The following is a 15,965-nucleotide window of genomic DNA, read 5'->3' as shown; positions in this document are numbered from 1 at the left end:
AGAAGACCCAAATAAATAAAAACACAAACTGAAAAGGGAATATTACAACTGATACCACAGAAATACAAAGGATAATTACAGACTATATAAACAGCTATATGCAACAAGTTGAAAAACCTAGAAGAAATTAATAAATTCCTGGATGCACATGATCTACCAGGGTTGAACTATGAAGAAACAGTAAGAAGATTGAAGCAATAATAAAAAGCCTCCCATTAAAGAAAATCCAAAGACGTGATGGATTCACTAATAAATTCTACCAAACACTTAAAGAAGAACTAATACCAATTCTACTCAAACTATTTCAAATATTTAAGAGGAGGGAATACTTTCAAACTCATTCCATGAGGCCAGCATTACCCTGATACCAATAGCAGACAAGGACATAGCAACAGAAAAAGAAAACTACTGGGCAATATCCCTGATGAACACAGTTGCTAAAATCCTTAACAAAATACTAGAAACTCAATTCAAACAACACATTAAAAAGATTATTCACCATGATCAAGTAGCATTTATCCCAGGGATGAAAGGATGTTGCATCCAACATGCTTGAGCCATCAACATACACAAATCAGTAAATGTCATAATCACATGAACACAATCTAGGACAAAAACCTTATGATAATTTCAATACGTGCTGAAAAGGCACTTAATAAAATTCAACATACCTTCATAATAAATATTCTCAACAAATTGGTTATAGAAGAAATACACCCCAATAACATAAAGGCCATAGATGACAAACCCACAGCTTACATCAAATTGAACAGCGAAAAATTGAAAGCCTTTTTTCTAAGGTAGGAACAATACAAGGATGCCCACTTTAACCACTGCTGTTGAACATATTACTGAAAGTCCTAGACAGAGCAATCAGGCAAGAGAAATAAATAAAAATCATTCAGACAGGAAAAGAAGAAGTTAAATTATCTCTCTTAACTGATGATACACTTCTATATCCAGAACACCCTAAATAATCTTTCAAAAGGGCCCTGAAACTGATAAACAATTTCAATAAAGTTTCAGGCCACAAAATCAATGTAAAAAAATCAGTAGCACTTCTATACATCAATAACAATCAAGCTGAGAACAAAATCAATAATACAATCCCATTTACAGTAGCTGGAAATAAATAAATAAATAAAATACCTAGGAATACATCTAACCAAGAAGTGAATGATCTTTACAAGGAGAACTACAAAACTCTGCCAAAAGAAATCAGAGATGACACAAATGGAAAAACATTCCTTGCTCATGGAATCAATATTGTTAAAATGACTATACCGTTCAAAGCAATCTACAGATTCAACACCATTCCTATATCAAGCTACCAACATTATTTTTTCACAGAACTAGAAAAAACTATTCTAAAATATAGAGAGAACCAAAAAAGAGCCCAAATAGACAAAGCAATCCTAAGCAGAAATAACAAAGCTGGTGGCATCACATGACTTGACTTCAAACTATACTCTAAGGCTACAGTAATCAAAATGGCATGATACTGGTACAAAAACAGACACATAGACCAATAGGACAGGACAGAGAATCCAGAAATAAAGCTGCATAACAGCCATCTGATCTTTGACAAAGTAGACAAAACAAGCAATCGGAAAAGGACTCCCTACTCAATAAATGGTGTTGGGATAACTGGCTGTCAATATGCAGAAGAATAAAACTGGACCCCTACCTTTTACCATATAGAAAAATTAACTCGAGATGGATTAAAAGCTTAAATATAATACCTAAAACTATAAAAGTCTTAGAAGAAAACCTAGGAAATACCATTCTGGATATCAGCTTTGGCAAAGAATTTATGACTGAGTCCTCAAAAGCAATTGTGAGAAAAACAAAAATAGACAAGTGAGACCTAATTAAACTAAAGAGCTTCTTCACTGCAAAAGAAACTATCAACAGAGTAAACATACAACCTATAGAATGGGAGGAAATATTTACAAACTATGCATCTGACAAAGTTCTAATATCCAGAATCTATAGGGAACTTAAGCAATTGAACTAAATATTTTGCCCACTAAAATATGGGCAAAATACATGAACAGATGCTTCTCAAAAGAAATGAACTTAAGCAATTGAACTAAATATTTTGCCCACTAAAATATGGGCAAAATACATGAACAGATGCTTCTCAAAAGAAGACATACAATTGGTCAACAAACATATGAAAAATGCTCAACATCACTCAGAAAGATGCAAATCAAACCCACAATGATACACCACCTCACACCAGTCAGGATGGCTACTATGAAAAGGTTAAAAAAATGGCCGGGCATTATGGCTCACACCTGTAATCCCAGCACTTTGGGAGGCCAAGTCAGGTGGATCACCTGAGGTCAGGAGTTTGAAACCAGCCTGGCCAACATGGTGAAACCATGTCTCTACTAAAAATACAAAATTAGCTGGGCGTGATGGTGCATGCCTGTAATCCCAGCTAAGGAGGCTGAGGCAGGGGAATCACTTGAACCCAGGAGGCGGAGATTGCAGTGAGCTGAGATTGCACCATTGCGCTCCATCCTGGGCAACAAGACTGAAACTCCATCTCAAAAAAAAAAAAAAAAAAAAAAAAGAAAAAAGAGAGAAAAGGTCAAAAAACAACCAATGTCGGTGAGCCTGTGGAGAAAAGAGAACAGTTATACGCTGTTGGTGGGAATGTAATTTTTTTCAGCTATGTGGAAAGCAGTTTGGATATTTCTCAAAGAATTTACAAATACCATTCAACCCAGCAATCTCATTACTGGGTACATATCCAAAATAAAATAAATTATTTTACCAAAAAGACACACGCACTTGTATGTTCATTGCAGCTACTCACAATAGCACAGACATGGAATCAGCCGAGGTGCCCATTAATGGTGGGTTGGATAAAACAAATATGGTACATATACACAATGGAATACTATACAGTCATAATAAGGAATGAAAGCGTGTCCTTTTCAGCAACATGGATGCAACTAGAAGCCATTATCCTAAGCAAATTAATGCAGCAACAGAAAACCAAATATCGCAGGTTCTCACTGATAAGTAGGAACTAAACATGGACATAAAGATGGGAACGTGGACATAAGGATGGTAACAACAGACACTGCGGACTACTAAAGCGAGGAGAGAGGGAGGGGATTGAGAATTGAAAAACTACTGGTACTGTGCTCAGTACCTAGGTGATGGGATCAGTAGGACCCCAAACCTCAGCATCACACAATATACCCAGGTAATAAGCCTGCATAGGTACCCTCTGAATCTAAAATAAAAGGTGAAGTTATAAAAATAAAAAATAAGAAATAAACAAACTGGAACTAAACCATAAAGTCATAATTATAAAAAGTTCTAATTTTCTTTTTGGTATGGTTAGAACACAAGTCAGAACCCTTCTCAAATCTAATATAAACAGCAGTTCATATAACTGAACTACATCAGTGGGGGTAAACTGGGAGAAAAAAATTTTGACACAGTTGTTTGTATGAGATGTCAAGCTAATCATAATGGATTTTCACTTGGAAAATTATTAAGAATTGATTTAGAAGACAGGCATAAAGTACTTGAGACTTTTCTGGTAATGATTTAAAAAAATTCATGTCCACTGAGAAAATTCTCAACCTGCATTGTGTACATGAAAGAGAGAATTTTATAATCCTATTAGAGACAACCAAATTGTTTCCTAAATTACATATTAACATATTGAAATGTGCATCTATGTGAAAAACAGAATTTGAAATACAGCTGAATATGAGGTCTTGCCTCAGAGGTGAAGTACATAAATCTTATTCCAAAGGAAATAATCACTGACTGTAAAATTTTACATGATAGTAATAAACTTGATACTTTATCTGTACAGACGTCCACTTTCACTTTTCAAAGCCTCAGAGCAAGTTTTATTTTAAGTGTTAACTCGCTAAAATATTTCAACAGAATGAACGTTTAGAGAAAACTATATTCTAGAATTGGTTGTTGTTTAGACTTGCAGCTAAAGGACAGATTTTGAACAGTCTGGAGAAAAAAAGGAAAGGAGATAAGAATATGTTTCAGGTGTGAGGAAATAGACTATTCTTAGGGCAAAGACATGCCTCCGGCATTACTCCAAACTGAACTTGAGCCACTGAGTTAAATTCAAAGAACCTATCAATGAATTTCACTGTTGAAACTGACGTTCTGTCTAAGCCACACTATTTGTTGCTAGGAAAATCTGAGCTTCCAAACTGACGTCACTGATTCCAGTGTGTCTCAAAATATAAAGTCTTAATTTGAGGGGAAATGTTTTGGGTAGTCTCATTTATACGCTCACAAATCTATGTTTATATTTCACTGATCCTATCTAATGCAGAACTTCATCTCCATAAACAGAACAAAATAAAAGAGGGACAAAAACCCAGGAAGAAAGAAGGAATGTCATTCACATAAACATAAACAAATATCCAAGCTTACATCTAGCATTTAAGGACATTTAAGGACATACAGATGGTCTTTATCAGGTCATGAGTCTTGACCTGATAATATATTATATCCAGCATTTAAGTACTGATCCTATTTTCAGTTGTATGCATTGACACTGTGAATAATTACCACACACTTATTCACTCTACTTGGCGCCTGAGAATTTTGCATGATGCCCCTGGTCTGTTCATTCCACCTCCAATATGCATACAGGATAGGTAATTTGGTTTCCCCACACCCTCTTTTTCCATTCAAATTTTTACTTTTAGTATTGAACTGTTTGATCTTAAAAGAGTTCTGAGGACCTCTTCCATTAAGTTTGCTAAATTTTTAGGCACACACTTAATATTTAGCTTCAGAATTGTTGTCTAATGATTTTTCCAGAAAAGCACTAAATCTGATTAGAAAACTTATCATCAATTGAGAGGCCAAGACAGGAGGATTGCTTGAAGGCAGGAGTTTGAGACTGGCCTCCACAACATAGGAAGATCTGTCTCTTAAAAAACAAAAAAATAGCAAGGCATGGTGGCACACACCTTTAGTCCCACCTACTTGGGAGACTAGGGTGGAAGAATCACTTGAGTCCAGGAACTCAAGATTACAGTGATCTATGATCACGCCACTGCACTCCGGCCTGGGTGACGGAGCCAGACCCTGTCTCTAAACGAACCCAAAAAACAAATAAACAAACACCTGATGAGTTTTAAATCTGTCCCTGTTTTTCTATGTTATATTAAATCTCATGTTGTCATTCCTCTGATTTGAAAACTGTATGGATTCAGAGACAACTACTCATATCCTATTGTTTGGAAAATGTTTGAGGTGATAAAACTTTAAATGTATTAAGAATTTTGCTCATCATTTATAAATGGTCTCCCGTAACTTTCTTCTTCTCCACAGTGAATCAATACATTTTATTGCTTCAGGATCATTTGTTAAGTGGAGAACACCAAACGGTGCATATAGAACAAAAATTCTAATTTTTAGCTTTGAGTTCCAAAACAAACTTCTGAAACTTATAGCAGAGACAATTCTCTCTAAAAGCCAAGACTTTTGATTTGCAGTAGACATGTTTGATCTCAAATCATGTGTTACATATAGCCCAGCATAAAATTTATGCCAGAAACAGCACATATAAAAGAAAACTGAAGAAACAATGGATCTAACCCATTAATTAAACCAAATTTGCTCCTGCTGGGGAAGGAGAAGCCTCAGAAAAGGATGAGATTCATACCTGATTCAGGTTCCCAATACTTAGCCAGGTTGTACTCCATACCACTAGATAAAATCCAAGGGATGAGGCTGGGAGGGTTGAGAGGTCAGTGGGAACTCCACATATGTTTGAGAAGATCTGATGATGGAAATGGCCTGAGCCATGTTCCCTCAGCCCTAAGGGGCAGTCCAAAGGTTTGTAAAGAATTTCTTCATGCCCCAAATTGGTGCCATAATCTTTGTGTAGGAATGTTAGGAGAATGGACCTGTGTGTGATAGCACCTCCATTTAAAACCCAGGTTCATACTATATCCTCTAAAGACGCAAGAGACTATTTTGAAATTCCTGCTCCCCCAGGGATAGGTATAGAAGTGACTGACAGACCCCAAGTCTCCAATGGAGCTTTGGGATGGTTGGGATAAAAGGCATGAGGCCATTTCAGTTTCATACACATCTTGGAGAATGTAATGGTAATGAGAGCAGTTGACCAAAAGGGTACAAGCACATCTCAATGTACTCCAGGAGATGGCTGTGGGTCCGAAGCCTCTCCCTTACCTATGCCTGAGTGTTCTGTATATCATCTACCTTTGCAATGTCATTCTGTGGAGGAAAGGAAAAGAATGCTGAACCAACAGAACTTAAACTCCAAATTTACTGAGAAAAACAACAAAAGTCACTAAGCTTACCTAGAAGTTACAAGACCAAATTTCCTTCAAGAAACAGATGTGGGTTCAGGATAGAATTAAATTCAGATAGACAAAAACAAAGAAAATAAAATTATTTGCTCATTTAAATTCAAGACCTGATAACATTCATATATGCAACTTTTCTTTAAAACTATCAAATTTCTAGAAATTAAAAATAGAGCTACCATAAGACCTAGCAATTCCTTCTCTGGACATATACCCAAAGGAAATGAAATCAGCACCTTGTAAAGATATCTGCACTCCTTTGTTCACTGCAGCATATTCAAAAAATTGTGAAGATTTGGGATCAACCTAAGTGTCCATCAACAGATGAGTGGAAAAGAAAATATGATGGACACACACACACACACACACAGAGAAAGAGACAGAGAAACAGAGAGAGACAGGGAGAGAGAGAGAGAAATATTATTTAGCCCTAAAAAATAATAAGGTCTTGCCATTTACCACAACATGGATGAGCCTGGAGTACCTTATGCTAAGTAAAATAAGCCAGAGCCAGGTGTGGTGGTACACACTTGTAGTCCCAGCTACGTGGGAGGCTGAGGTGGGAGGATCACTTGAGCCTGGGAGTTTAAGGCTGCAGTGTGCTGTGATAGCACCTATGAATAGCCATCACACTCCAGCCTGGACAACATAGTGAGACTTTGTCTCTAAAAAATTAATAAGAAAAAAAGAAAGAAAAAAGCCAGACATGGAAAAATTGCATGATCTCACTTATGTATGAAATCTAAAAAAAATTCAAATATACAGAGATAGAGAACAAAAGAGTGGTTACCAAAGACAGGTGTGAGGGAAGAAAATGCAGACAGGTAGGTCAGAGGACACAAAGTAGCAGATATGCAGGATGAACAAGTCCAGAACTCCAATGTACAGCATGAGGACTATGGGTAGTACAATTGTATTATATTTGGGATTCAAGCTAAGTGAGTAGATTTTCCCTGTTCTTGCTAGAAAAAAAATGGGTAACTGCATGAAGGTGGATATCTTAATCTGCTTCACTACAGCGACCTTTTACTGCTTCTATGTATCCCATACATCATGTTATAGACCTTAAATATACACAGTAAAAAATAAAACAAAAATATGAAAAATATTATGGGAAATGACACATGGGCCTTTGTACTCCATAGTCCCTTTTTCTTTCTTTCTTTTTTTTTTTTTTTGTTTTTTGGAGATGGAGTCATGCTATGTCATCCAGGCTGGAGTGCAGTGGCATGATCTTGGCTCACTGCAACCTCCATTTCCTGGGTTCAAGCCATTCTCCTGCCTCAGCCTCCCGAGTAGCTGGGATTACAGGCATGCACCACTAGGCCCAGCTAACTTTTTGTATTTTTAGTAGAGATGGAGCTATGTCATACTGGCCAGGCTGCTCTCGAACTCCTGACCTCAGGTGATCCACCCGCCTCGGCCTCCCAAAGTGCTGGGATTACAGGCGTGAGTCATCGTGCCTGGTCCAGAGCCCCTTCTGAGATAGCTGCTTTCTTCTGTTCTCCTTTGTCGCAGGAAACATTTTGTATTTTGGAGAACCTCCAACTTGGGGACACCCTCCGCTTTGGGGACAACCAGTGTATTTTCTTTTTTTTTTTTTTTATTATACTTTAAGTTTTAGGGTATATGTGCACATTGTGCAGGTTAGTTACATATGTATACATGTGCCATGCTGGTGCGCTGCACCCACTAACTCGTCATCTAGCATTAGGTATATCTCCCAGTGCTATCCCTCCCCACTCCCCCCACCCCACCACAGTCCCCAGAGTGTGATATTCCCCTTCCTGTGTCCATGTGATCTCATTGTTCAATTCCCACCTATGAGTGAGAATATGCGGTGTTTGGTTTTTTGTTCTTGTGATAGTTTACTGAGAATGATGATTTCCAATTTCATCCATGTCCCTACAAAGGACATGAACTCATCATTTTTTATGGCTGCATAGTATTCCATGGTGTATATGTGCCACATTTTCTTAATCCAGTCTATCATTGTTGGACATTTGGGTTGGTTCCAAGTCTTTGCTATTGTGAATAATGCCGCAATAAACATACGTGTGCATGTGTCTTTATAGCAGCATGATTTATAGTCATTTGGGTATATACCCAGTAATGGGATGGCTGGGTCAAATGGTATTTCTAGTTCTAGATCCCTGAGGAATCGCCACACTGACTTCCACAATGGATGAACTAGTTTACAGTCCCACCAACAGTGTAAAAGTGTTCCTGTTTCTCCACATCCTCTCCAGCACCTGTTGTTTCCTGACTTTTTAATGATCGCCATTCTAACTGGTGTGAGATGGTATCTCATTGTGGTTTTGATTTGCATTTCTCTGATGGCCAGTGATGATGAGCATTTTTTCATGTGTTTTTTGGCTGCATAAATGTCTTCTTTTGAGAAGTGTCTGTTCATGTCCTTCACCCACTTTTTGATGGGGTTGTTTGTTTTTTTCTTGTAAATTTGTTTGAGTTCATTGTAGATTCTGGATGTTAGCCCTTTGTCAGATGAGTAGGTTGCAAAAATTGTCTCCCATTTTGTAGGTTGCCTGTTCACTCTGATGGTAGTTTCTTTGGCTGTGCAGAAGCTCTTTAGTTTAATTAGATCCCATTTGTCAATTTTGGCTTTGGTTGCCATTGCTTTTGGTGTTTTGCACATGAAGTCCTTGCCCATGCCTATGTCCTGAATGGCCATGCCTAGGTTTTCTTCTAGGGTTTTTATGGTTTTAGGTCTAACGTTTAAATCTTTAATCCATCTTGAATTGATTTTTGTATAAGGTGTAAGGAAGGGATCCAGTTTCAGCTTCCTACATATGGCTAGCCAGTTTTCCCAGCACCATTTATTAAATAGGGAATCCTTTCCCCATTGCTTGTTTTTCTCAGGTTTGTCAAAGATCAGATAGTTGTAGGTATGCGGCATTATTTATGAGGGCTCTGTTCTGTTCCATTGATCTATATCTCTGTTTTGGTACCAGTACCATGCTGTTTTGGTTACTGTAGGCTTGTAGTATAGTTTGAAGTCAGGTAGTGTGATGCCTCCAGCTTTGTTCTTTTGGCTTAGGATTGACTTGGTGATGCAGGCTCTTTTTTGGTTCCATATGAACTTTAAAGTAGTTTTTTCCAATTCTGTGAAGAAAGTCATTAGTAGCTTGATGGGGATGGCATTGAATCTGTAAATTACCTTGGGCAGTATGGCCATTTTCACGATATTGATTCTTCCTACCCATGAGCATGGAATGTTCTTCCATTTGTTTGTATCCTCTTTTATTTCCTTGAGCAGTGGTTTGTAGTTCTCCTTGAAGAGGTCCTTCACATCCCTTGTAAGTTGGATTCCTAGGTATTTTATTCTCTTTGAAGCAATTGTGAATGGGAGTTCACTCATGATTTGGCTCTCTGTTTGTCTGTTGTTGGTGTATAAGAATGCTTGTGATTTTTGTACATTGATTTTGTATCCTGAGACTTTGCTGAAGTTGCTTATCAGCTTAAGGAGATTTTGGGCTGAGACAATGGGGTTTTCTAGATATAGAATCATGTCATCTGCAAACAGGGACAATTTGACTTCCTCTTTTCCTAATTGGGTACCCTTTATTTCCTTCTCTTGCCTAACTGCCCTGGCCAGAACTTCCAACACTAAGTTGAATAGGAGTGGTGAGAGAGGGCATCCCTGTCTTGTGCCAGTTTTCAAAGGGAATGCTTCCAGTTTTTGCCCATTCAGTATGATATTGGCTGTGGGTTTGTCATAGATAGCTCTTATTATTTTGAAATACATCCCATCAATACCTAATTTATTGAGAGTTTTTAGCATGAAGGGTTGTTGAATTTTGTCAAAGGCTTTTTCGGCATCTATTGAGATAATCATGTGGTTTTTGTCTTTGGCTCTGTTTATATGCTGGATTACATTTATTGATTTGCGTATATTGAACCAGCCTTGCATCCCAGGGATGAAGCCCACTTGATCATGGTGGATAAGCTTTTTGATGTGCTGCTGGATTCGGTTTGCCAGTATTTTATTGAAGATTTTTGCATCAATGTTCATCAAGGATATTGGTCTAAAATTCTCTTTTTTGGTTGTGTCTCTGCCCGGCTTTGGTATCAGAATGATGCTGGCCTCATAAAATGAGTTAGGGAGGATTCCCTCTTTTTCTATTGATTGGAATAGTTTCAGAAGGAATGGTACCAGTTCCTCCTTGTACCTCTGGTAGAATTCGGCTGTGAATCCATCTGGTCCTGGACTCTTTTTGGTTGGTAAACTATTGATTATTGCCACAATTTCAGCTCCTGTTATTGGTCTATTCAGAGATTCAACTTCTTCCTGGTTTAGTCTTGGGAGAGTGTATCTGTCGAGGAATTTATCCATTTCTTCTAGATTTTCTAGTTTATTTGCGTAGAGGTGTTTGTAGTATTCTCTGATGGTAGTTTGTATTTCTGTGGGATCGGTGGTGATATCCCCTTTATCATTTTTTATTGTGTCTATTTGATTCTTCTCTCTTTTTTTCTTTATTAGTCTTGCTAGCGGTCTATCAATTTTGTTGATCCTTTCAAAAAACCAGCTCCTGGATTCATTGATTTTTTTGAAGGGTTTTTTGTGTCTCTATTTCCTTCAGTTCTGCTCTGATTTTAGTTATTTCTTGCCTTCTGCTAGCTTTTGAATATGTTTGCTCTTGCTTTTCTAGTTCTTTTAATTGTGATGTTAGGGTGTCAATTTTGGATCTTTCCTGCTTTCTCTTGTGGGCATTTAGTGCTATAAATTTCCCTCTACACACTGCTTTGAATGTGTCCCAGAGATTCTGGTATGTTGTGTCTTTGTTCTCGTTGGTTTCAAAGAACATCTTTATTTCTGCCTTCATTTCGTTATGTACCCAGTAGTCATTCAGGAGCAGGTTGTTCAGTTTCCATGTAGTTGAGCGGTTTTGAGTGAGATTCTTAATCCTGAGTTCTAGTTTGATTGCACTGTGGTCTGAGAGATAGTTTGTTATAATTTCTGTTCTTTTACATTTGCTGAGGAGAGCTTTACTTCCAAGTATGTGGTCAATTTTGGAATAGGTGTGGTGTGGTGCTGAAAAAAATGTATATTCTGTTGATTTGGGTTGGAGAGTTCTGTAGATGTCTATTAGGTCCGCTTGGTGCAGAGCTGAGTTCAATTCCTGGGTATCCTTGTTGACTTTCTGTCTCGTTGATCTGTCTAATGTTGACAGTGGGGTGTTAAAGTCTCCCATTATTAATGTGTGGGAGTCTAAGTCTCTTTGTAGGTCACTCAGGACTTGCTTTATGAATCTGGGTGCTCCTGTATTGGGTGCATATATATTTAGGATAGTTAGCTCTTCTTGTTGAATTGATCCCTTTACCATTATGTAATGGCCTTCTTTGTCCCTTTTGATCTTTGTTGGTTTAAAGTCTGTTTTATCAGAGACTAGGATTGCAACCCCTGCCTTTTTTTGTTTTCCATTTGCTTGGTAGATCTTCCTCCATCCTTTTATTTTGAGCCTATGTGTGTCTCTGCACGTGAGATGGGCTTCCTGAATACAGCACACTGATGGGTCTTGACTCTTTATCCAATTTGCCAGTCTGTGTCTTTTAATTGGAGAATTTAGTCCATTTACATTTAAAGTTAATATTGTTATGTGTGAATTTGATCCTGTCATTATGATGTTAGCTGGTGATTTTGCACGTTAGTTGATGCAGTTTCTTCCTAGTCTTGATGGTCTTTACATTTTGGCATGATTTTGCAGCGGCTGGTACCGGTTGTTCCTTTCCATGTTTAGCGCTTCCTTCAGGAGCTCTTTTAGGGCAGGCCTGGTGGTGACAAAATCTCTCAGCATTTGCTTGTCTGTAAAGTATTTTATTTCTCCTTCACTTATGAAGCTTAGTTTGGCTGGGTATGAAATTCTGGGTTGAAAATTGTTTTCTTTAAGAATGTTGAATATTGGCCCCCACTCTCTTCTGGCTTGTAGGGTTTCTGCCGAGAGATCCGCTGTTAGTCTGATGGGCTTCCCTTTGACGGTAACCCGACCTTTCTCTCTGGCTGCCCTTAACATTTTTTCCTTCATTTCAACTTTGGTGAATCTGACAATTATGTGTCTTGGAGTTGCTCTTCTCGAGGAGTATCTTTGTGGCGTTCTCTGTATTTCCTGAATCTGAACGTTGGCCTGCCTTGCTAGATTGGGGAAGTTCTCCTGGATAATATCCTGCAGAGTGTTTTCCAACTTGGTTCCATTCTCCCCATCACTTTCAGGTACACCAATCAGACGTAGATTTGGTCTTTTCACATAGTCCCATATTTCTTGGAGGCTTTGCTCATTTCTTTTTATTCGTTTTTCTCTAAACTTCCCTTCTCATTTCATTTCATTCATTTCATCTTCCATCGCTGATACCCTTTCTTCCAGTTGATCGCACCGGTTCCTGAGGCTTCTGCATTCTTCATGTAGTTCTCGAGCCTTGGTTTTCAGCTCCATCAGCTCCTTTAAGCACTTCTCTGTATTGGTTATTCTAGTTATACATTCTTCTAAATTTTTTTCGAAGTTTTCAACTTCTTTGCCTTTGGTTTGAATGTCCTCCCATAGCTCAGAGTAATTTGATCGTCTGAAGCCTTCTTCTCTCAGCTCGTCAAAGTCATTCTCCATCCAGCTTTGTTCCGTTGCTGGTGAAGAACTGCGTTCCTTTGGAGGAGGAGAGACGCTCTGCGTTTTAGAGTTTCCAGTTTTTCTGTTCTGTTTTTTCCCCATCTTTGTGGTTTTATCTACTTTTGGTCTTTGATGATGGTGATGTACAGATGGGTTTTTGGTGTGGATGTCCTTTCTGCTTGTTAGTTTTCCTTCTAACAGACAGGACCCTCAGCTGCAGGGTCTGTTGGAATACCCTGCCGTGTGAGGTGTCAGTGTGCTCCTGCTGGGGGGTGCCTCCCAGTTAGGCTGCTCGGGGGTCAGGGGTCAGGAACCCACTTGAGGAGGCAGTCTGCCAGTTCTCAGATCTCCAGCTGCGTGCTGGGAGAGCCACTGCTCTCTTCAAAGCTGTCAGACAGGGACATTTAAGTCTGCAGAGGTTACTGCTGTCTTTTTGTTTGTCTGTGCCCTGCCCCCAGAGGTGGAGCCTACAGAGGCAGGCAGGCCTCCTTGAGCTGTGGTGGGCTCCACCCAGTTTGAGCTTCCTGGCTGCTTTGTTTACCTAATCAAGCCTGGGCAATGGCGGGCGCCCCTCCCCCAGCCTCGCTGCCACCTTGCAGTTTGATCTCAGACTGCTGTGCTAGCAATCAGCGAGATTCCATGGGCGTAGGACCCTCCGAGCCAGGTGTGGGATATAATCTCGTGGTGCGCCGTTTTTTAAGTCAATCAGAAAAGCGCAGTATTCGGGTGGGAGTGACCCGATTTTCCAGGTGCGTCCGTCACCCCTTTCTTTGACTCGGAAAGGGAACTCCCTGACCCCTTGCGCTTCCCAGGTGAGGCAATGCCTCGCCCTGTTTCGGCTCGCGCACGGTGCGTGCACCCACTGGCCTGCGCCCACTGTCTGGCACTCCCTAGTGAGATGAACCCGGTACCTCAGATGGAAATGCAGAAATCACCCGTCTTCTGCGTTGCTCATGCTGGGAGCTGTAGACCGGAGCTGTTCCTATTCGGCCATCTTGGCTCCTCCCTCCAGTGTATTTTCTCTAGCTGAATCAGCAGTGACTTTGGATATTTCCTCCCAGAGCCATTAGTATTCTAGACTCTACTTACAGCTTCAGTGATTTGGGTTCTGAGGACTTCCATGGATTGTTGGAACACAGCATGAACTGAAGCAATGTGTACTTGTAGCTTTAGACTGCAGCAAACTTTACCTTGCTTTCCATCCTTTTCTATTCAGACTGGTCTTTGTAAACCAATAATCTATCATTCTCTACCCAGAAATATTACATGTTGGTGCGAAAGTAATTGTGGTTTTTGTCATTACTTTCCATGGCAAAAACCACAATTACTTTTGCACCAACCTAAATAGTTCCAGGTTTTTTCTCTTTGGTAATCATAACAAAAATACTTGGGAAATAATGTACTATTCAAATATACAAGGTTTGTATATTTATACTATTTTATGCTATATATATTTATACTATTGCAAACATACAACTTTGTATACTTCTGCTTTCCCGGGAAATTTACTGACATATGACTGAGCCTTTCTTCTTATTTTTTCGTCAAGTTCTCACTCCTATTATAGATGCACATGTGACTTGTTGACAAAAAGGGCCAGACTATTTTCTTTCCAGTTTCTCTAGGTCGCTGGAAACTCTTATGAGCAGGGCCTTGTTCTGTTTCTCTTTGCATGCCTAGGTCCTAACATGGAACCTGGTATATGAGAGCTCTACAGGTACTTCTTAAAGTGAAATGTGACTGCCCTAAGCAAACTTTAGACACAACCAGGTAGGTCATTTTCGCTTTCTACCCTTTAAAGCAGTGTTAGACAGTGCCTGGGGGAAGGATTGATCTCTCCATCTGTGACTGCAGTCTCATCATAGTATTAATGAATTTGCTAGTGTCAGACTTGAATCATCTATTACACTTGTCAAATACCTCACATCTCCACTACAGGGTAGATCTTTCCATCCAACATGGGGAAAACATATCCCTAGAGTCTGGATGACCTACTTATCAGGAAGCCTCACTCTTAGCTTAAGCTAGGGCAAGATATTTTTGTTGGTTTTTATTTAGAGAAAACACAATTTATGTTAGCCTTGAGGTGATTTGATTGGTGATGCATTGGATCAGATGGCACCCAACCAATGAAAATAATACTAGTGACCCCGTTAGTAGAGGGGGGTTAGATACTGGTGATGGCAGATTAACTTCCCTCCAGGTGACACCTAATGAGATATGATTTCATCACTCTAAGTGCTTAAGTTAGTAGTACCTAGTTTAACTAGAATTTAGGAAACATTGGTGATAGTAAAGATAGTATTGTATGCTCGGGAGGAAAAATGAATATTGCCTTTATTTTTATTTTTGAGACAGAGTCTTGCTCTGTCACTCAGGCTGGAGTGCAGTGGTGCCATCTTGGCTCACTGCAACCTCCGCCTCCCTGGTTAAAGTGATTCTCCTGCCTCAGCCTCCCGAGTGGTGGCGCACACCACCACACGCAGCTAATTCTTGTATTTTTAGTAGAGACGGGTTTTCATCATGTTGGCCAGGCTGGTCTCGACCACCTGACCTCAAGTGATCCACTGACCTCGGCTTCCCAAAGTGCTGGGAATACAGGTGTGAGCAACCATTCCAGGCTGCCTTTATTTTTTATTTCCTCTAGCAGCTTCAACACATTTAGAACTATCCATGTTGAGAGCTGACAAGGAAGATTTTACTGGACCTGAGACTTGAATCTCAATCCCACAACTTTCTACCAGTAGAGAGCTGGGCACCAGTTTATTCATCTATAACTTCATAGGCCTATGGTTAAACAAAGTGTGAAGTTTCTAGCACAGTGCCTGTCAAGGTAAGCTTATTGTAAACATTAGTTAGATTCCCTCCCTACTTGAATATATCTGGTATTCATCTTAAACCTTACAGTTGAAAATTAATGCATGGGGAAGGAAATGTAGAAGCCTATCATCTAATGAATTTGTTACATTTTCATGAATTAGTCAAAATGATAGGCATATTA

The 15,965-nt window shown here is 39.3% G+C and overlaps 1 protein-coding gene across 3 annotated transcripts in view, besides 2 other annotated features; it reads right to left on the bottom strand.

Annotated features, from left to right (window-relative positions):
* Positions 1–15,965, bottom strand: part of KYNU (kynureninase) — a 178,170-nt gene that overhangs the window by 35,818 nt on the left and 126,387 nt on the right. The gene's annotated exons all lie outside the window — the stretch shown is intronic.
* Positions 13,019–13,656: an enhancer, noted in NCBI's record as "NANOG-H3K27ac-H3K4me1 hESC enhancer chr2:143763929-143764566 (GRCh37/hg19 assembly coordinates)". NCBI's record gives its function as "activates a minimal SCP1, AML or CMV promoter by ChIP-STARR-seq in primed H9 embryonic stem cells {active_cell/tissue: H9 hESC(primed)}" and the evidence as "EXISTENCE:reporter gene assay evidence [ECO:0000049][PMID:30033119]".
* Positions 13,657–14,294: an enhancer, noted in NCBI's record as "H3K27ac-H3K4me1 hESC enhancer chr2:143763291-143763928 (GRCh37/hg19 assembly coordinates)". NCBI's record gives its function as "activates a minimal SCP1, AML or CMV promoter by ChIP-STARR-seq in primed H9 embryonic stem cells {active_cell/tissue: H9 hESC(primed)}" and the evidence as "EXISTENCE:reporter gene assay evidence [ECO:0000049][PMID:30033119]".

Source organism: Homo sapiens, chromosome 2 (genome assembly GCF_000001405.40).
Source record: "Homo sapiens chromosome 2, GRCh38.p14 Primary Assembly".
Taxonomy (NCBI): domain Eukaryota; kingdom Metazoa; phylum Chordata; class Mammalia; order Primates; family Hominidae; genus Homo; species Homo sapiens.
The sequence above is the reverse complement of the archived record's forward strand: the minus strand, read 5'-3'. Positions and strand labels throughout refer to the sequence as shown.